The following is a 22,161-nucleotide window of genomic DNA, read 5'->3' on the forward strand; positions in this document are numbered from 1 at the left end:
GCACACAGAATTTATATGCCCTTCCCAAGTCCAAAAAGGGCCCCTGCCATGCTAAACAAAGGTATTCATATGCAAGGCATGAGCTCTGTCTCATGGAAGGGAGAGGCCAAGTTCTCTTTCCACCATCAGAGAGTAGCGTTCAACATCATTTATACAAGACAGGCTTTTGCCCTTTTAGTCTTGCTGAACTAGAATGAGGGATTTGTGTAGTCGAAAGTCAAGCTGATCATTGTCAAGTTTCGTGGAAGTGGAACCTGAAGGAAGGTTAGGTGGAGACTGCAGAGAGGGTTAGCGTCCTGCCTTACCACAAGGTAAGTCTAGAAGAGGGTGGGGAAGGGAGTTCAGAATTCTTCATTCATGGAGTGTACCTGCCTTGGTCATCCTTTTATCTTCCAGTCAGAGGGGTCATCAGTCAAGAGCTGGCCAGGCTGGGTGTGGTGGCTCATGTCTGTAATCCTAGCACTTTGGGAGGCCAAGGCGGGTGGATCATCTGAGGTCAGGAGTTCGAGACCAGCCTGACCAATCTGGTGAAACCCTGTCTCTATTAAAAATACAAAAATCAGCTGGGGGTGATGGCGTGCACCTGTAATCCCAGCTACTTGGGATGCTGAGACAGGAGAATTGCTTGAACCCAGGAGGTGGAGGTTGCAGTGAGCCGAGATCGCACCATTGCACTCCAGCCTGAGTGACAGTGAGACTCCGTCTCAAAAAACAAAACAAAAGCTGGCCGTAGTCAAGTCAGTGATGATTTGGATTGAAATTAAAATGTGACTAAAGAGAGAGTATGCAGTTTTGTCTATCTATGAAACCTTCCTCTGTTTTATGTGGGACACCTGGGCACCCACTCTTGGCTGGAACTTACATAAAACACTACTGTGCACGCACATGTCACCTCAAGTCCCGTGGCTCTGAAAGTCCAGTAGAAGTGACAGCCAGACATCCCAGTCCTCCCTGTAGGGTTTTCTCAGAACTGTTCCTTTAAGGTCTCAGGCTGCTGGAAGGGAGGGCTGATAGCAGAAAAAGTGGGGACACTGGGAACTCCAAAGGGAAGACGCGCATGGCCTGAAACCGAGTTCTTTCGCTTTCTGGAGCCTGGTCTCCCTATGTGGAGGGTCATGCTGGCATGGCTGGCAATGGTTAATTCACCGATGGCCATGGAGTCCCAAGTTGGCCATATTATTGCGGTAAAAGATACATTAACCCAGATGACCTTGCCGGGGGCCAGAATAGAGCCCGTGAGGAAGGAGAGCAAGGCAGGATCGGCCGGGAGGCGAGAGGGATTTTGTTGAGGAGCAAGGTCTTCCACAGGAACTGCGACTTGGAAAGTATTCACCAAGGGCTGTGCCATGCGAAACCCTCTTTAAAGGAACCGCATCGCTACGCCTAACGGGCATTTCTTTTTTAATGTAATGGTTCAGAGCTATTGTCTACCACGCCTCGTGTGCACACGCACACACACGCAAGTTCCCTCAGTCAGCCGAGAATCCTGCCATCTCTTTTAGATAACAAAAGCTCTTAGGCCTTATGCTTTGGGTAGGATTTGTCTTCCATGGACAGGTATTCAGTTGGGAACAAGTATATAGTCACTGCCTCTATGGTATGGAGATACTCCGATTTAGTCCCTCTGCCTCTTGGGGAAAAAAAAAAAAAAATTGTAAACATCCCCTTCAGCAGCTTCTCAAGTCCCTGTACAGTGGAGGAACATTACACGTGAACTTCCTGGATTCAATGGATTCTTCTTTGCAAGAAAAAAAACAAAACAAAAAAACAGAGAAAGAAGAAAATATCAATTTAGACTGTTAGGTCCAACGTTTCACTCAGTGAGTGAGCACAGGGGGTGACGGAGGATGGCTGGAATGTGGGGTTGAAGCTGCTGTTCTGGGTCTCAGCTCCTGCCCATGTACCGTGGAGTGAGCATCTCACACCACGATGATTCTGGCATTTAAGTGAACTCCTTCACACGGTGCTCAAGTGGAGAAAGGGCTGTCCATGTCTATCCCAGCTTAGAAGAAAAACTGATGGTATGAGACTTGCCATTCCTCTCTGATGTAGAACCTGCCTAAGGGACATTCCACAGCAGTTCTGACCGTTGTCACTTTGTGCCTTAACCCCCACATTCATTTTGATTCTATATTTAGTATTAAATTTTTTAGATTATTAGGATTTAAGGTTTTCAAACATCTACTGAAATGCAAGTGCCCCTAGAAACATTATACTTTCAGGCCGGGCTCAGTGGCTTATGCCTGTAATCCCAGTACTTCGGGAGGCCAAGGCGGGCAGATACCTGAGGTCAGGAGTTCAAGACCAGCCTGGCCAATCTGGTGAAATCCCATCTCAACTATAAATACAAAAATCAGCTGGGCGTGGTGGCACGTGCCTATAATCCCAGCTGCTCGGGAGGCTGAGGAAGGAGAATTGCTTGAACCCGAGAGGTGGAGGTTGCAGTGAGCCAAGATTGTGCCATTGCACTCCAGCCTGGGCGACAGAGCAACACTCTGTCTCAAAAAAAAAAAAAAAAAAAAAAAAAAACAGAAAAGAAAAGAAACATTATACCTTAACTTTTCGCACCTAGTGAGTGATAACCTATGAGGATAATGCTGCCACATGGTCCTTGAGGGAAGAACTTGGGGAAGAGCCGAACAGGGATGAGGCAGGTGAGCCCCATGTGATTTATCGTCATTCATTCAGCTCAACAGGTCGGACAGGGTAAGGGTAAGGGATGTAACCAGGAGATGCCACAGGAACGTCTGAGAGGTGTTAGCAAGTCCCAGAGGCCAGCGCCCGACTCCATTTCAGCCTCGTTCAGGGTGGCACGGAGACTCCTGCTGCTGCGTCACGTCTGTCATGTTCAGCACTCTTCCCAGACACACAGTCTTGACTAAAGATTGTCAGGATCTTGACACACGCTTCATTAGTCTTGACTAAATGCGAATCTATACCTCATTTCAAAGAAATCTGAATTCTTTAGGTTCCAGGACCAGTTTATTGTTATACATAATCACGATCATTTATTGAGCTCCACTTAGCACTGCACATATATCAGTATCATCTCAGTTGCCCTTTACTCTGATTATTTTGTGGGGAAACTGAGATCAGAAAAGTTAAATAACTTAGGTGCCACCTGCAAGTATAGTGGGTGGGCAGCAGATACCACCCTTCCTCATTTCATTGTTCCAGGTGATATTTCGTCTCTGCCTTTGGCCTTTAGTCTGTGGTTGTTCCTAATCTTAGTTTTCATTGAAAGCTGTAGTTTGAAATGTGGGATAGATGAGAGATAGGAAAGGAAAATTTAGGGGTATGGAAATTTTGTTCCTTAGTGGTTAGTTCCAGCTTTATTTTGTTTATTTATATGTTTGTTTTTAAAGATCGGGAGCTTGCTGTGTTGTCCAGGCTGGTATCGAACTCCTGGTTTCAGCTTCCCGCCTCAGCCTCCCAGAGTGCTGGGATTACAGGCATGAGCCAATATGCCTGGCCAGCTGTGTTTTAGATCTTTGGGAAATAAAGAGAATGCTTTTGGGCTTGGCAAAATAGAAACCTCTGGGTGGGGAGAATTGCACAGTAAAAGAAACAAAAGGGAAGTTTATATTAAACTATGAAAAGACACAGGGAGGTTCAATTTAACATATTTGCCTTATGTATGTGCTTCTTAAGAGAGTGCACAAAGGCACCTTTGCAGAGGAGAGAGGCTAGAAAATGCCCGTTAGAAGCAAGTCTACGGTTTGCACCCTCTTACTAGCACCAGCAACGGTCCCTGTCTAGTGATACCCATGACTTGTCATTGCATTGCATGTCATCTGCCTAAGAGAAGCTCCTGCCTGGGGCAGACACACTGTCAATTACCCCTACAATATAGACTGATACTAAAGCAAGGCTGCATATTCTTGCTTATTCCCAAATTGGATGGCTCAAGGTTCCAGAATGTTGTAGACATTCTGCATTATATCTTTATGAGAGTTAAGGAAATGGTAAAGAAGCAGAAAAAGTTGGGGATTTTTTTTTTTAAGTATTTACAGTGAGGCGCGGTGGCTCATGCCTGTAATCCCAGCACTTTGGGAGGCCGATGCGGGCGGATCACAAGGTCAGGAGTTCGAGGCCAGCCTGGCCAATATGGTGAAACCCTGTCTGTACTAAAAATACAAAAATTAGCCAGGCGCGGTGGCGGGTGCCTGTAGTCCCAGCTACTTGGGAGGCTGAGGCAGGAGAATCGCTTGAACCCGGAAGGTGGAGGTTGCAGTGAGCCGAGATTGTGCCAGTGCACTCCAGCCTGGGGGACAGAGTGAGAAAAAGTATTTACAGTTTATGTGAGGGTCAGTACGTTGGTTCATTGGCTTCCTTCTTATCTAGTTCTCGGGCTGAGTTTGCTAATGTCATAGCACTTCTAGTAGCCTTCCCCTTTTCTCTGCCACTTCCCAGCTTCCCCAGGCAGAAAGCATCTGGTCGGCCCCTTGATTACCAGGCATCCATAAGTGACCATCATTTAGGCCAGTGCTTCTCAGAATGCCAATCACCTGGGCTCCACTAAAAGGCAGGTTCTGAATAGCTCGGCCTGGGTTGACTGAGATTCTGCGGTTCCAACAAGCTCGCAGGTGATGCTGATGCTGCCAGCCCATGGACCCCACCTGGAGTAGTGAGGTTCCTTGGCACTTTAAGAACATCCCTCCTTTACTTCACATTTATTTCTACTGGAAACTAGCACAGACTTATGCAAGCTAAATTACGCATGTTTTCTCCGTAGGATGCTCTATGTCCTGTTCCTCTTACTAACAACTCTGGTCTGGACCATTGTTCTAGGATTGTCTCAAAGCTTGCCAGGAGCAGATTGAGGCGGTGCTCCTCAATAGCCTGCAGCAGTACCGTCAGGACCAACGTGACGGATCCAAGTCGGAGGATGAACTGGACCAAGCCAGCACCCCTACAGACGTGCGGGATATCGACCTGTGAGGATGCCAGTTGGGCCGAAAGAGAGAGACGCGTCCATAATCTGGTCTCTTCTTCTTTCTGGTTGTTTTTGTTCTTTGTGTTTTAGGGTGAAACTTAAAAAAAAAATTCTGCCCCCACCTAGATCATATTTAAAGATCTTTTAGAAGTGAGAGAAAAAGGTCCTACGAAAACGGAATAATAAAAAGCATTTGGTGCCTATTTGAAGTACAGCATAAGGGAATCCCTTGTATATGCGAACAGTTATTGTTTGATTATGTAAAAGTAATAGTAAAATGCTTACAGGAAAACCTGCAGAGTAGTTAGAGAATATGTATGCCTGCAATATGGGAACAAATTAGAGGAGACTTTTTTTTTTCATGTTATGAGCTAGCACATACACCCCCTTGTAGTATAATTTCAAGGAACTGTGTACGCCATTTATGGCATGATTAGATTGCAAAGCAATGAACTCAAGAAGGAATTGAAATAAGGAGGGACATGATGGGGAAGGAGTACAAAACAATCTCTCAACATGATTGAACCATTTGGGATGGAGAAGCACCTTTGCTCTCAGCCACCTGTTACTAAGTCAGGAGTGTAGTTGGATCTCTACATTAATGTCCTCTTGCTGTCTACAGTAGCTGCTACCTAAAAAAAGATGTTTTATTTTGCCAGTTGGACACAGGTGATTGGCTCCTGGGTTTCATGTTCTGTGACATCCTGCTTCTTCTTCCAAATGCAGTTCATTGCAGACACCACCATATTGCTATCTAATGGGGAAATGTAGCTATGGGCCATAACCAAAACTCACATGAAACGGAGGCAGATGGAGACCAAGGGTGGGATCCAGAATGGAGTCTTTTCTGTTATTGTATTTAAAAGGGTAATGTGGCCTTGGCATTTCTTCTTAGAAAAAAACTAATTTTTGGTGCTGATTGGCATGTCTGGTTCACAGTTTAGCATTGTTATAAACCATTCCATTCGAAAAGCACTTTGAAAAATTGTTCCCGAGCGATAGATGGGATGGTTTATGCAAGTCATGCTGAATACTCCTCCCCTCTTCTCTTTTGCCCCCTCCCTTCCTGCCCCCAGTCTGGGTTACTCTTCGCTTCTGGTATCTGGCGTTCTTTGGTACACAGTTCTGGTGTTCCTACCAGGACTCAAGAGACACCCCTTCCTGCTGACATTCCCATCACAACATTCCTCAGACAAGCCTGTAAACTAAAATCTGTTACCATTCTGATGGCACAGAAGGATCTTAATTCCCATCTCTATACTTCTCCTTTGGACATGGAAAGAAAAGTTATTGCTGGTGCAAAGATAGATGGCTGAACATCAGGGTGTGGCATTTTGTTCCCTTTTCCGTTTTTTTTTTTTTATTGTTGTTGTTAATTTTATTGCAAAGTTGTATTCAGCGTACTTGAATTTTTCTTCCTCTCCACTTCTTAGAGGCATTCAGTTAGCAAAGAGGTTGGAGCAACAACTTTTTTTTTTTTTTTTGCACAATTGTAATTGACAGGTAATGAAGCTATTTGTTAAAATATTTGCCTTTTTAAGTAAAAAAGAAAAATCAGAACAGGGCTATTTGAAGAATTATTTTATACACAGATTCTGCCTTGTTTCATAGTATGAGGGTTGAAGACGGAAAACAATCTAAGGGTCTCTCATTTTTTTAATTTTGTTTTGTTCAGTTTGGTTTTTTTTTTTTTTTGCGCTGCTAAGAAGCTAAAGTCATCCATCCTTATTCACGTTGACAGTACCTAGCTGTAATGTTTCACAGAGTGTGCTGCTATTTTATAAACATTTTTATAATATATTATTTTACTGCTTAAATTCCAAGTCCTGAAGTAGATGGTTGAGATATGAGTTCTTCGTACTGGAAAAGCCCTTCCGTAGTTTGTTTTCTTCTGGTAGCATATTCATGGTTGTTTTTTTTTTTCTTTTTTGGTTTTTTGGTTTTTTTTTTTTCCTCTGATCACATTCTTCAAAGACGGAGTATTCTTTACCTCAGGTTTACTGGACAAAATCAATAACTACAAAAGGCAATGATTCACGCTTTTGTTTTCATAATACCTCACAACCGTACAGTTTCTGCTTGGGAGCCCATTCGCATGAGGAATACAGAAGCAGTGTGAGCAGGGCTGACTCCCTCTCAGGTGGAAGGCAGGGCGGTCTCACTCCCAGGGACCTTTTTGGTCATGGAGGCCATCGGGCTCCCAGTTAGACCCTGGTATCCTCATCATGATGGAAAAAATACATTGAACCAAGGGATCCTCCCTCCCCTTCAAGGCAGACGTTCAGTACAAACATTTATGCGGTAGGCTCAGATGTCGTAATTTGCACTTAGGTACCAGGTGTCAGGAAACAGACTAAAAAGAATTCCACCAGGCTGTTTGGAGATCCTCATCTTGGAGCTTTTTCAAAAGCGGGGCTTCATCTGCAAAGGGCCCTTTCATCTTGAAGTTTTTCCCCTCCGTCTTTCCCCTCCCCTGGCATGGACACCTTGTGTTTAGGATCATCTCTGCAGGTTTCCTAGGTCTGAATCTGCGAGTAGATGAACCTGCAGCAAGCAGCGTTTATGGTGCTTCCTTCTCCCTCCTCTGTCTCAAACTGCGCAGGCAAGCACTATGCAAGCCCAGGCCCTCTGCTGAGCGGTACTAAACGGTCGGGTTTTCAATCACACTGAATTGGCAGGATAAGAAAAATAGGTCAGATAAGTATGGGATGATAGTTGAAGGGAGGTGAAGAGGCTGCTTCTCTACAGAGGTGAAATTCCAGATGAGTCAGTCTCTTGGGAAGTGTGTTTAGAAGGGTTCAGGACTTTGTGAGTTAGCATGACCCTAAAATTCTAGGGGATTTCTGGTGGGACAATGGGTGGTGAATTCTGAAGTTTTGGAGAGGGAAGTGGAGCAGCCAGCAAGTAAGCTAGCCAGAGTTTTCTCAAGAGCCAGCTTTGCTCAGCACACTCTCCTGGGCCCCAAGGAGTCCCACGGAATGGGGAAAGCGGGAACCCTGGAGTTCTTGGGAATCTTGGAGCCTAAAGAGAAACCGAGGTGCAAATTCATTTCATGGTGACTGACCCTTGAGCTTAAACAGAAGCAGCAAATGAAAGAACCGGACAAATAAGGAAGGGCACAAGCCTACCCGACTCTATTTACAGTCTGTAACTTTCCACTCTTCCTGTAGTCCCGAGGCCCCTGGGTCCTTCTAGCTTTTCTCTTTCCCATCCTTGGGGCCTTGTGTGATGATGGGTGTGGGGCTGCCGATGGGAAAGTCGGGGGTTGTTAGGCTTTTCTGCCTGCTCCTGCTTAAACACAAGAAGGAATCCTGGATTTTGCCCTCTCCTTAGCTCTTAGTCTCTTTGGTAGGAGTTTTGTTCCAGAGGAGCTCTCCCCCTTGGATTTGAACTTGCTCTTTTTGTTGTTGTTGTTCTTTCTCTTCTTTTTCTTACCTCCCACTAAAGGGGTTCCAAATTATCCTGGTCTTTTTCTACCTTGTTGTGTTTCTATCTCGTCTTTACTTCCATCTGTTTGTTTTTTTCTCCATCAGTGGGGGCCGAGTTGTTCCCCCAGCCTGCCAAATTTTGATCCTTCCCCTCTTTTGGCCAAATCCTAGGGGGAAGAAATCCTAGTATGCCAAAAATATATGCTAAGCATAATTAAACTCCATGCGGGTCCATAACAGCCAAGAAGCCTGCAGGAGAAAGCCAAGGGCAGTTCCCTCCGCAGAACACCCCATGCGTGCTGAGAGGCGAGCTCCTTGAAGAAGGGGCTGTTCTTCCAGGAGGCCTTATTTTGAACTGCCTCAGGACCCCACTGGAGAGCACAGCATGCCTTACTACTGGGTCATCCTTGGTCTATGTGCTCTGTACTGGAGGCTCTGTTCTGCCTCTTATCAGCCAGGTCAGGGGCACACATGGCTTAAGTGACAAAGCCAGAGGAGAAGACAACCCTGACAGCATCACGCTGCATCCCATTGCTAGCAGGATTGGCAACTCTTCAGACGGAGCTGCGCTTCCCTGCAGTCTAGCACCTCTAGGGCCTCTCCAGACTGTGCCCTGGGAGCTCTGGGACTGAAAGGTTAAGAACATAAGGCAGGATCAGATGACTCTCTCCAAGAGGGCAGGGGAATTTTCTCTCCATGGGCCACAGGGGACAGGGCTGGGAGAAGAAATAGACTTGCACCTTATGTCATGTAAATAATTGATTTTCTAGTTCAAGAAGATAATATTGGTAGTGTGGGAATTGGAGGTAGGAAGGGGAGGAAGTCTGAGTAAGCCAGTTGGCTTCTAAGCCAAAAGGATTCCTCTTTGTTTATCTCTGAGACAGTCCAACCTTGAGAATAGCTTTAAAAGGGAAATTAATGCTGAGATGATAAAGTCCCCTTAAGCCAACAAACCCTCTGTAGCTATAGAATGAGTGCAGGTTTCTATTGGTGTGGACTCAGAGCAATTTACAAGAGCTGTTCATGCAGCCATCCATTTGTGCAAAATAGGGTAAGAAGATTCAAGAGGATATTTATTACTTCCTCATACCACATGGCTTTTGATGATTCTGGATTCTAAACAACCCAGAATGGTCATTTCAGGCACAACGATACTACATTCGTGTGTGTCTGCTTTTAAACTTGGCTGGGCTATCAGACCCTATTCTCGGCTCAGGTTTTGAGAAGCCATCAGCAAATGTGTACGTGCATGCTGTAGCTGCAGCCTGCATCCCTTCGCCTGCAGCCTACTTTGGGGAAATAAAGTGCCTTACTGACTGTAGCCATTACAGTATCCAATGTCTTTTGACAGGTGCCTGTCCTTGAAAAACAAAGTTTCTATTTTTATTTTTAATTGGTTTAGTTCTTAACTGCTGGCCAACTCTTACATCCCCAGCAAATCATCGGGCCATTGGATTTTTTCCATTATGTTCATCACCCTTATATCATGTACCTCAGATCTCTCTCTCTCTCCTCTCTCTCAGTTATGTAGTTTCTTGTCTTGGACTTTTTTTTTTCTTTTCTTTTTCTTTTTTTTTTTGCTTTAAAACAAGTGTGATGCCATATCAAGTCCATGTTATTCTCTCACAGTGTACTCTATAAGAGGTGTGGGTGTCTGTTTGGTCAGGATGTTAGAAAGTGCTGATAAGTAGCATGATCAGTGTATGCGAAAAGGTTTTTAGGAAGTATGGCAAAAATGTTGTATTGGCTATGATGGTGACATGATATAGTCAGCTGCCTTTTAAGAGGTCTTATCTGTTCAGTGTTAAGTGATTTAAAAAAATAATAACCTGTTTTCTGACTAGTTTAAAGATGGATTTGAAAATGGTTTTGAATGCAATTAGGTTATGCTATTTGGACAATAAACTCACCTTGACCTAAATTATCTGGCCGTTTTTGACTTATTTATAAACCAGCAGTCCTCAGAATGGAATACACTTGTCTCATGTCAGAACTGTTTCATGCCGCTGCAACATTTGGCAGTGGCATAAAAGACACATTCTAACCTGGAATGGAATCTACATGTGCCTCTGTGTTATGGCGGTACAAGTCATTGTTGACATTGCTAGGGGACGAGGGGTGCCTATGCAGCCAGCTTATAAGCTAGAAGCCTCAGTCCACCTTCAGAAGGTGGGTACATCACAGACACTATGACTGGTCCTCAGAGGATCGTCCCTGATTGTTGCCAGCTACTCATTCTGGGCTGTGAGGAAGCATCTCCTGGCATGAGAGGTACCAGAAGCCTGCGGTGCCATCTCCAGAGTCTAGGGAGTCTCTGGGAACCCTGCCCCTGCAGCTTTCCTGGCTCCTGCCTGCTGTTCTTCGTGGCTCCCACCTGATTTCTGATCCTTCCTGCACCCCTCTTCTGAGACACAGGCCACAACTACCTTTGCTGGAGTCTGGAGAAGCAGAGCCTGGGAATGGGATGTGACAGTCTCCGTACTGCTGAAATGAATTGCCAGGCCCTAGGCCCAGCTGCTCTTGGACCTTAGCTCAGACCAGCTTCTTTCCCGAGAGTGATGGGTGTGCAGAAGACAAGGGCCTAATGAACACTTTTTTGTGTGTTTTGTTTAGAAACAGGGTCTTGCTGTGTCCCCCAGGTTGGAGTGCAGTGGCACAATCCCAGCTTGCTGCAGCCTCACACTCCTGGGCTCAAGCAATCCTCCTGCCTCAGCCTCCCAAGTAGCTGGGATTACAGGCGCCCACCACCACGCCCAGTTAATTTTTTTATTTTTTGTACAGATTTTTTGTATAGCTTTGTTGCACAAGCTATAACAGACATTTTGATGTTACTGTAAAATTAATTTTTTCCAAAGTTCCTTGTCTGGAAGTCATCGAAGGCTGTTTTCCATTTTAATTCTGACCTGAGTTGTAAACAAGATTTAAAACTGGCCGTTGGGGAAGTCCAGATTAAGATATTCCAGGCTGATCTCAAGTAACTTCACTTAATAGGACTTTTAAGCTTACAAGGACCCTAGAAATTCCCCTTTGTTCCCATTCCCCTTGACATCCGCCATTCTTAGCGACAAATGGGGGTAACTTTTTTCTTGGGTTTCTGCCTAGTGAAGTCTGCTGGCCTCCTGGGAGTTTCAAGGGCCTCTGGTTGCCATTCTTAACCATCCTTGGAATTCTCTTTGGCATGACATAATGTCCAACTGGGTTCCTCTCCCTCCCTTTCCCTATCTTTTTGCTCTGTAGGATCAATGCTATATCTGTTTATAGCATGACAACTCCACTCCCTCTCTCAAATGCCACCCAGCAACACTGCTGGGCTTCCCCCATTCTGAACAATGGATGTTTTAAGGGCGGGAAGAGCAGATGAAGCACACAGCCGAGCAGTGAGAAATCTGACTGTCCCATCTACGCTCTTTCAGACCCAGATCATCTTATAACTGGAAAATCTCAAACTTGGAAGTGCCTTTCCTGAAAGTGGCCATTAAAAATGCAATGAAGACCTGGAAATCCCCGATCTTTTGTGCGTGTTCAAGGGAGTGCTTTTGTATCTCTAATGACTTTCTAAGATTTGGAGCTTTTATTTAGTATGCAGAGGTATCCCCAAAATTCACCTTCCCAGTTGGCTTAGCAGTAATACTGTCAAAATACTGACACGAAGCAAGTACTCAAAAGCTGAATATTACACCAGATTACTTCCCTGCTCTCCTGGCAATTACAGCAACAGCAAAAATGCTGTGGACAGAGTAGGGAGATTCAGAGTATCAAGGTAAGCCTAGTACTCACAGCCGATGTGTTATGTGGGGCCTGTACTGAGCCTTTAAGGAAAAGCACAGAAAAAAACAGGACACACAGGCCTATGAAATAGCAGAGAGAAACAACAGCAAATGCAAATGAGTCTGGGGGGAAATCGATGCTAAGGTGTGGGAGGGGGCCCTTGCAGAGGAACAGGTTTCCTCAAGCAAGTGAGTTTTAGGAAAACACTTTTGTTAGGAAGATCATGTGGGTCAGCATAGTTTGGAAACGGAAACAGAGTGTGACCTTTTCCAAAAATAAAAGGGATGGGAAGTAATTTTTTTTTAAATGAAGGGAAAATATTCCACACAATTTAATAGATTTTAAACAATATAAACACAGATGTTAGGCTTGTGAAACAGGATAAGCACAGCCACAAACATTGATTTGGGATTACCACCCACCTAATTTCTCATGAGGCTTAAAGAAAGAAGGCTGGACGCTTCAATATGACTGGTGGCTTTCCTTGTCTTTGGGCTCTGGGGGCCTCCCCGTGCTGGAGGGGCGGATTCCATCCGCTCGGACCACAGGCTCAGTCAAACAGAACTGGGCGGCCTGAGAAAGCAAGACCAGCGCCCCTGCCTCTGTCTCATTGTCCCCCTGAAGCTTTGAGTTTATGCTTCAAGCTTTGAGTTTACTCATTATTATGGTTTCTTTCATGCTGATTCGCTCGGAGGACCCTGGCCCTTCTGCTGCGCTCACCGCCGCCGCTCTGGTAAATGACTGTCCGCATGGTTTCAACATGCAGTTCTTCCTGCGAAGTCCACTAGGTGGTACTAATGCCACGGACAGGATCACTCACAAGGAAACCCAGAGCCAGCCGGGTGTAGGTTGCCTCTGCCCTGCACGGAAGGGAACACCTCCCTCCAGCAGACAGCACTGGAGCAGCACCCCCGCCTCCGCCATCTCCCCAGGGCAGCCTGGGGAAGGAACGTCAGGCCTTTCCCGTCCACACCTGGCGCAGTTCCCTCACCTGCTTCTCTCACTACCGCCACATCGTGACTCCATCTGGGGTGGCTGGTGCTGGTTCATCACCTTCCCTGACTCTTCAGTGACTAATCCAGAGATGGCACACTGGCAGCTTACAGACCAAATCCAGCCTGCAGACATAATTAGCTTGACTCCCACAGTGATTGAAACTGTCTTGGATTTACTTGCCAATACAAGATGAGAGCTTTCACATAAAAGTCAGGATTGTAACGACTCTTGGGAGATTTAAGTCCTGGCAACCACAGGCCCGCGAGGCCGCGAGGGCTGCAGCTGAGTGTGACTGGCCCCTTTCTCTACCCTCTGCCCACCCCACAACCGACTGAACCCGCTGCTCTCTTTTACGGCGCCTGCCAGTCGGCTTAGGGCTTACAGCTCTGCAGCCTAACCTGTGTCTGTTTTACCTCCCTGGCCAGGAAGGAGGGCCCAGTAAGTCCCAAGTGGAGTCATCCTCCTCCAACCCTCTCCACCACAAACAGACCTGGAATACTTCTTTCAGTTTGTGGACCATAACCTCTCCTTCTCAGACGAAGAAAGACCGTACTGCCTCAGTAAGCATTAAGATCTCTTTATGTCTTTATGAGTTTTTAGTTATCAGATTACCCCGGGGCTGGGCCAGATTTTTGAAATTCCTTTGAGATCCCAACATTCAGCCCCACGCCCAGGTCTGCAGGTAGGCCCAAATAAGGTGGGGTGGTAAAGATCTGCTTTTTGTTTTTTGGTTTTCTTTTCTTTTGTTTCTGGAGATAGGGTCTTCCTTTGTCTCTGAGGCTAGAGGGCAGTGGCGTGATCACAACTCACTGCAGCCTCAACTTCCCAGGCTCAAGTGATCCTCCCACCTCAGCCTCCCAAGTAGCTGGGACAACAGGCATGCACCACTACATCTAGATTGTTTTAAAAAATGTGTTATAGAAACAGTGTCTCACTATGTTGCCCTGGCTGCTCTCAAACTTTGGGCCTCAAAAGATCCTTCCCACCTCAGCCTCCCAAAGTGCTGGGTTACAGGTGTGAGCCACTGTGTCCAGACAGCTTTTCCTGCTTTTGTTTGTCTGGAGAGTCATTTTTAGTGCTCCTGGCACCATGGAGATTCCATGAGAAGACAAACCTGTGAGATTTCTATATTTGTTGAAAAAGTGCAAATCTCTGTGGCTATGTTTCGGTCAACCCATTCACTGAAAATCGCTACTCTTCATCATCCCCTTCCCACACAGGGCTCCTGGGCACTGCTCGTTTATTCAACAAATGAGGGCTGGGTACGTGCCTGGTGCTCCGTATGGGACCCCTCATTCAACAAATGTGTCTCAGTACTTGCTTTTCCAGGGATGAGATCTCTGCTCTCCTTGATCTCAAAGGCTAAAGACAGAGACAGATAAAAAGACAACTGCTACTTGGTGGTTGGCCCAGAATACAAGTGCTCTATGCTCTGCTCTGGAATGCCCCCCCGGCCACCCACTCGCTTTGTAACCTTGGGCTCATTACTTAGCCACCCAGCAACTCACAGTAAACTCAGTGACTTAGTTTTTTCATCTGTGAAATGGGGTTTTGTAGTTTTGAAAGAGCTTTCCACAAGCCTCTCCTATAATCCTTTTATAACTCTGGTGAATTTGGTACCTTGTTTTGTAGCTAAGTGAATGGAGGGTCACACGGCTCACTTGGCTTATCACAAAGAGTTAGGCTAGGACTGGATCCCAGATGTGTCTGAATTCAAATATCATGCATCTTCTGCTACACTGGGCTACTTTATTGATCCATATTTTGCTTACTGAGCATTGAGCTGAAAGAGTGAGACTTTTAGCCCAGTGTGGGCAGGAAGGTTGCAGGGGGTGGGGGGGGTTGGATGATGACATCACTTAGTGAAATCATCAGGGGATAGTTTTTTAATGAAGACAAAGTCAATGAAGAAAGTAAAGGGCCTTGTCATCTAAGGAGGAGTTTGTCAGTGAATGTACACCAAGGAAGTAGCCTTTTCTTTCCAGCGTCTTTGCCTTGCCCCTTGGCTGTTCTTCATGCTCATTCCATTCAGGTTATAAATGCGTTGCTCATAAACTCCTGGGAAGGAGCCATGGGTTCTGCTTTCCTCCCAAATCCCCAAACCTATGTCAATTAAAACAAGAATCACAGCCAGGCGCGGTGGCTCACACCTGTAATCCCAGCACTCTGGGAGGCCGAGGTGGGCGGATCATGAGGTCAGGAGAACAAGACCATCCTGGCTAACATGGTGAAACCCCATCTCTACTAAAAATACAAAAAATTAGCTGGGCGTGGTGGCATGTGCCTGTAGTCCCAGCTACTCGGGAGGCTGAAGCAGGAGAATCACCCGAACCCAGGAGGCGGAGGTTGCATTCAGCCGAGATTGCGCCACTGCCCTCCAGCCCGGGTGACACAGCAAGATTCCATCTAAAAAAAAAAAACAAAAACAAACAAACAAACAAACAAACAAAATCACATATCTAGTTTGTCCCTATTCTTCAGGGACCCACGAATATCTGTGTTATTATTATTTCTCCCCCAACGCTCCCTCCTTCCCCCACCAAGCCCAGAGAATCTCAGTCCAGAGGCAGGGAAGCCTTGCTTGTATCATCAGCCTCCCAAGCCTTTGCTATTTAAAGATTCCTTTTGTTATCCTATAGGAAGAGATATTCTTTTTCTTGGTTTTTCGTGGCCACCTTCCTTGCCCCGAAAAAAGGGACACAGGAGGAAGGGCCCAAAAACGTAGAGGAAAAATACTGTAGGAAAAAATGCTGATTAATATTTCCAAAAATATTATTTTACCATGGATGCAATGGCCTGAGGCCCTGCAAGGGTGAATGCCACACTGAGGGTCACCCAGCAATGTACAAATGAACAATGAAGGACAACTGCTGGCCTCTGCAGGCTTCCATTCATTGCTCAGCTCTGTGAGCCTCTGGACATCTTGGTGAATACCCTCAGAAAATCTTGAAGCACCACAGGTTTTAAAAGCAGTCACTCACTTATGTTTTTCATATGTCACTGTAAGCTCATCATGAAGGGACTATGGAAGATTTGCTTCCATATGGCACTGCCTAGGTATTAGGGCCAGGACACCTAGGATTTTAGGGCCTAGCGGTCTTCTCTTTTCCTTAGCATTCTGTCAGGGCTCTGGCAAGAACAAGAGGATTGGCCTTTCTAGCCAATGTCCCCCCCAGTGCTTGCTACTTGCCTGGAATATTATGGACTGTATCATACATTTCTGTATTACATACAATCATTGTGACAGAGTCAGGATGCTGTGGTGGAAAAAGGCTTAGGTAATAAGATGATCTGACTTTGAATCCCAGGGCTGCCACTTAGCTTTACAAGCTCTGAGTCTCTGCTATTCTTTTATAAAATCTCTCTGGATTATTAGAAGGATTAAATGAGGTAGTCTATGTAAAGTGCCTAATACATAGAAAGCTTTAACAAGAATCAGCTAGTCTGAACATATGCAAACACACCAAGGACCGTGTTCATTGCTTTTGAAGGCATTGTAGATGCAATGTTATTTTCCCAAAAAGTCAGGGGTGGAGGTGGATATGGGTTTTCTGTGGATCCTGATGAGACTACTATCAAGAGCACAGCAGTGAAACAAAAGCATTTACAACTCTCATAATATCCCCTTGGTGCTGCCGCCCTTCTTCCAGACAGCAATGAACTTGGGCTTGGGGAGCGTTCTCTTCCCCACTAAGTAACAGGCTAACAGGCAAGGCATGAAAAGGGATTAGAGGATGCATGTATTCAAATAAAGGGGAGTTCCCCAGAAGCACGGCAGGCTGAGAAGGCATCTTTCGACTGTCCATCAGTAGGAAAGCTGTTTGACTGGCAGATATAATTTTTTTGGAACCAGCAATAATGGGGAGCTATTGGTGACAGATGTCAGATGTTGGCAGAGCAGCTGCCAAAACAAGTCTCCCTCCACCTTCAGACATCAAGCTGATGGGGACTGGGAGTCCCTTCGCACTTGGGTCATTGGTCACATTATTATTTCTCAGTCGCTGGACAAAGCAGATGGTTTACCATGTATTTGTGATTTTCTGTTGGCCTAGAAATTCTGTTCTTCCATCAGGGTACAGCATGTAATCAATTATGACAGTGGGTGGTGCAAGAAAATCCCTGCCAGTAAAAGCCCAAGACTTTCTCTTTTATTAAGTCTGCATAAACCACTACAATTTCCAACTTCAAAGCAATAGAAGAAAAAAGCAAAGTAGTGGTGTTATAAATAACTTGGGTAATCACAAAAACCACAGTTCTCAGTTGGTCCCAAACACTCTCAGTCTGTACTATCTGATGTCAGTTTTGTCTGTCCATTTTTATTCTGAAACTTAAAATCCTCTTGTCTCTATTCTAGTAAGTCTTAATAATATACGTATATTTTTAGACAGAGTCTTGCTCTGTCACCCAGTCTGGAGTGCAGTGGCACGATCTTGGCTCACTGTAACCTCCACCTTCCAGGTTCAAACAATTCTCCTGCCTCGGCCTCCGAAGTAGCTGGGACTATCATGCACAGCTAATTTTGTATTTTTAGTAGAGACAGGGGTTCGCCATGTTGGCCAGGTTGGTCTTAAACTCCTGACCTCAAGTGATCTGCCCGCCTTGGCCTCCCAAAGTGTGCCGGGATTACAGGCATGAGCCACTGCACCCTGCCTCTATTCTGGTAAGTCTTAAAGAGCTTTATCTTAGAATCATAAAGTGACCTAATTAAAAATAAACAGAACAAATACCAGGAACATACTACCCCTCAACTAAGGTTTTTTTTAAAAAAAAAATTCTCAGCTGTATTCTATTACATAGTAAAAATAGTAAGTTGCCTTGCTTTAGTATGTGTGAGTAGCCACATAGAACAGTTTATATGTTCTCCATCACCCACCCTCTGGATAATTTTCTTTGTGAAAGACACCTTGCTTATTTGTATGCATGTGTCTCAGGAAATAAATTCTTTAGTAATAGAGCAGAACAAGCATTTTTAACATGATAACTACCAACTAGAGAAACTCTTGACATAAATTACACATTTTTTCTTGTCTTTTAAAAATATGTATGTATTTTTTCTTAAAAATCAGGCTCATAAACGAATGGCTTTCTACTCTTTTTTCATGTAATCTCCTATCAGGGGAATGTTATCATACCATTAAATATTCTGTAAGAACATGATTTCTAGGGCTGGATACGGTGGCTCACATCTGTAATCCCAGCATTTTGGGAGGCCCAGGCAGGAGGATCACCTTAGGTCAGGAGTTTGAGACCAGCCTGGCCAACATGGTGAAACCCGATCTCTACTAAAAATACAAAAATCAGCTGGGCGTGGTGGCACATGCCTGTAATCCCAGCTATGTGGGAGCTGAGGCAGGAGAGTTGCTTGAACCCTGGAGGCGGAGGTTGCAGTAAGCTGAGATGGCGCCACTGCACCCCAGCCTGGGTGACAGAGAAGACTCCGTCTCAAAAAAAAAAAAAAAAAAAAAAAAGAAACAAACCAAAAAAAAAAAAAGAAAAAAAACCATAGATTCTAATGAATTGTTTGGGCTCCTACAATATATCTAGTACTACTTGAGGTGCTGAAGACACAGAAGGGAACAAGCCAGTCCCCACGGTCAAGGAATATATATCCTGCTGAAGAAAGACAAGCAATGAACCTACAAAAATGTTCATAAATGATATAATTTCAGAATAAAATCGGATGATGGATAGTGACTGGGCAGCCTACTTTGCTTGAGGGAAGACCTCTTGAGAGTGGGACTTCTGAGTTGATACCTGAAGGCTGAGAAGGAGGCAGCCATGCAAATATCTTGGGAAAGAGCTCTGTGAGCAGAAGGAACAGAGAATGCAAAGATCCGGAGGTAGGAATGAGCATGACGTGGTCTACGAACAGAGAGAAGCCCTGACGGCTGGAGCTGGATGAGGAGGGGCAGCGAAGAGAGAATTGTAACTGGAGGGCCAAGAGGGGCCATGCCACATAGGCCTTGCAGGAGTTGGGACTTCATTCTAACTGCAATGAGAATTCAATAGAGAATTCTCCAGCAAGGGAGTGACACAATAGGGACATCTCTTCAATGGCTGAGTACCAGAGTAGAGGCAGCAGAGCTATGCCAACAGGCTATCACAGTAATCCAGACGAGAGGTGATGAAGGCTCAGCCTGGGACACAGTGAGACTCCAGAAGTGGTGGATTCAGGACATAATTTGGTGATAGACCCCATAAACTTTTTTTAAAGGTTTTGGATAGATAGCTTTTATCATTTATTTATTATTGAAGATATGTACGACACAATAAATAAGCTTGCTTCAGACGTATATATAGAACTCTGTATCCAATAATGAGTGAATCCACATTCTTCACAAGGACACACGAAACATTTCTGTGAAATGCCTGTGGACTAGTCCACAAAGCAAGTCTCTGTAAATTTCAAAAATGTATACCCTTGAAAATCTCTGAAGTCCTGGAGATTTAAGTCTGCAACTATCTTAGTCTTACTACCAAGAATAGCCCCTAAGGAAAAAAAAAAACCCTTTCAATAAAAAAAAGATAAACAAGAATAATATAAATTTCACAGACTCCAGCTAACCAGCTTTTGGTCACAATGTAATTAATTTCACTCTTAATGCATTGCTGAAAATATTTAAATGCCTGGGGAACTGGCTCCAACCCACAATCTCCTCCCCTACCCTACATTCCAAATAGATCAGGCATTTTACACTTGGCTCATCTTCGGTGAAGACAGTAATTAATCTTTATTTGAAAACAAGATTTGGGAGGCAGACGCAGGCAGATCACCTGAGGTCAGGCGTTTGAGACCAGCCTGGCCAACATGGTGAAACCCCATTTCTACTAAAAATATAGAAAAATTAGCTGGGCGTGGTGGCGGGTACCTGTAATCCCAGCTACTCAGGAGCCTGGGGCAGAAGAATCGCTTGAACCTGGGAGGTGGAGGTTTCAGTGAGCTGAGATCACGCCACTGCACTCCAGCCTGGGTGACGGAGCAAGACTCTGTCTTAAAAAAAAAAAAAAAAAAAAAAAAAAAAAGCAAGAAAACGAGTAAAATCCAGCACTCACTGCATTATTGAGCCTACAGAAATCTATGATGAATTTGACAGGGAATATTAGGATAGGTAAAGAATCAAGGGTTTCATGAGCAGTCAAGTGGAGGGTGTTACCATTTACTGAGATGAGAAAGACTTGAAGACCAGCTGTTTTTAGGGGTAAAAATGGAAGGTTCTGTGTGGACAAAGTTAGCCTGAGATGTCAACTATAGACCCAAGCGTAGATGTTGAGTAGGCAACTATAACAGATAAACGAATGAGGAGCTCAAGGGAAAGGCCAGGCTGGGGATATAACTAAGATCTATACACTGGATTAGATCATCTAGCTGACTGCACAGTTGAGTAGAGAAGAGAGCCAAGGGCAGAATCCTCAATACTCCAACATGCACAGGGTTTATGGGATTGTCTACCCCCCAACAATTCATGTGTACCTCACGTTTCCCATCACCTCTGCAATTTGGTAGGGCCACGTGAGTGGCTCTGGACAATGAATGAAGGAAGCATCTAAGGACTGGTTCAAGACCCTCAACTATTCTCATCTCCTGCCTCAAAAATCGTGAATTCTTATGTTTCTGAAGTTAACATGTCTGTCAACCCTAGGTCCTGAATGAGTATGTGGCTTTAAGACCCTTTCTGATCCACGTCAGACATATAGCATGAAAGAAAAACAAACACTTGTGTGTGAAGCCATGGAAATTCCAGAGTTAATTTGTTACCTCGGCATAACGTGGCCTAATCCAGAATGCCATCATATGATGCGCTTCAACAAAGCACCATTTTTCATTTTTTTAAAAAGGCGTTATGTGATTTGAGAGGCTGTCAACAAAATATATTGGTGGATGGCTGGGTGTGGTCGTTCATGCCTGTAATCCCAGCACTTTGGGAGGCCGAGGCAAGCAGATCACTTGAGGTTAGGAGTTCGAGAACAGCCTTACCAACATGGTGAAACCCTATCTCTACTAAAAATACAAAAATTAGCCAGACATGGTGGTGCAGGCCTGTAGTCCCAGTTACTCGGGAGGCTGAGGCAGGGGAATTGCTATTCAGGAGGCTGAGGTAGGGGAATTGCTTGAACCCGGGAGGCGGGAGGCGGGAGGCAGGAGGATCACTTTAGCCTGGGAGGCAGAGGTTGTAGTGAGCTGAGAGCACACCACTGCACTCCAGCCTGGGGCAATGGGAGTGAAACCCTGTCTCAAAAAAAAAAAACAAACATATATACACATATTTTTTATATATGTATTTATATACGTATACACACACATACACACAAATACATGTATATACATATATACATATATGTACACACATCCTGCTTATAAAATGAACAAGGAGTTCACGTAAACTAATTCAGATAGAACCTGGAAATATATATATAGGGGTATTTCTGGCTTCTCTCTGAATATATATGGATACACACACACACACACACACACATATATACACATACATACATATATGGGTGTTTCTAGCTTCTATCTGAAATACAGTTTAAGTGAACTCCCTGTTCATTTTATAAGTGGAAGGGCAATCCCTGAACCACTGAGTGAATAATGCAGGACAATGTCCACTATTTTGAAGACACCTCATTTTTCAACCTGGTTTTTGCCCCTGATTAGTTTTTCGTTGCTGTTTTTTTTTTTGTTTTTTTGTTTTGTAGCCGTGGTCTCGCTCTGTCGCCAGGCTGAAGTGCAGTGGCACGATCTCGGCTCACTGCAACCTCTGCCTCCCGGGTTCAAGCGATTCTTCTGCCTCAGCCTCCTGAGTAGCTGGGACTACAGGTGCACACCACCACTCCCAGCTAATTTTTGTATTTTTGGTAGAGACGGGGTTTGCCCATATTGGCCAGGATGGTCTTGATCTCTTGACCTAGTGATCTGCCTGCCTTAGCCTCCCAAAGTGCTGGGATTACAGGCATGAGCCACCGCGCCTGGCCCCTGATTCTTAAAATTTATGAAGAATTGTTTTTTAATTTATTCCTTAGATAATTAAAAGA

General features: G+C 44.9%; 1 protein-coding gene across 1 annotated transcript in view; it reads left to right on the forward strand.

The window, feature by feature from the left end:
- Nucleotides 1-10,285, forward strand: part of CCND2 (cyclin D2) — a 31,592-nt gene extending 21,307 nt beyond the window's left edge. The window contains exon 5 of the mRNA NM_001759.4: nucleotides 4,792-10,285. Within this exon, the coding sequence (NP_001750.1) occupies nucleotides 4,792-4,941 (150 nt within the window). The 3' untranslated portion in view covers nucleotides 4,942-10,285. The remainder of the gene's footprint in view (nucleotides 1-4,791) is intronic.

The sequence above is a fragment of the Homo sapiens genome, chromosome 12 (genome assembly GCF_000001405.40).
Source record: "Homo sapiens chromosome 12, GRCh38.p14 Primary Assembly".
Classification (NCBI taxonomy): Eukaryota; Metazoa; Chordata; class Mammalia; order Primates; family Hominidae; genus Homo; species Homo sapiens.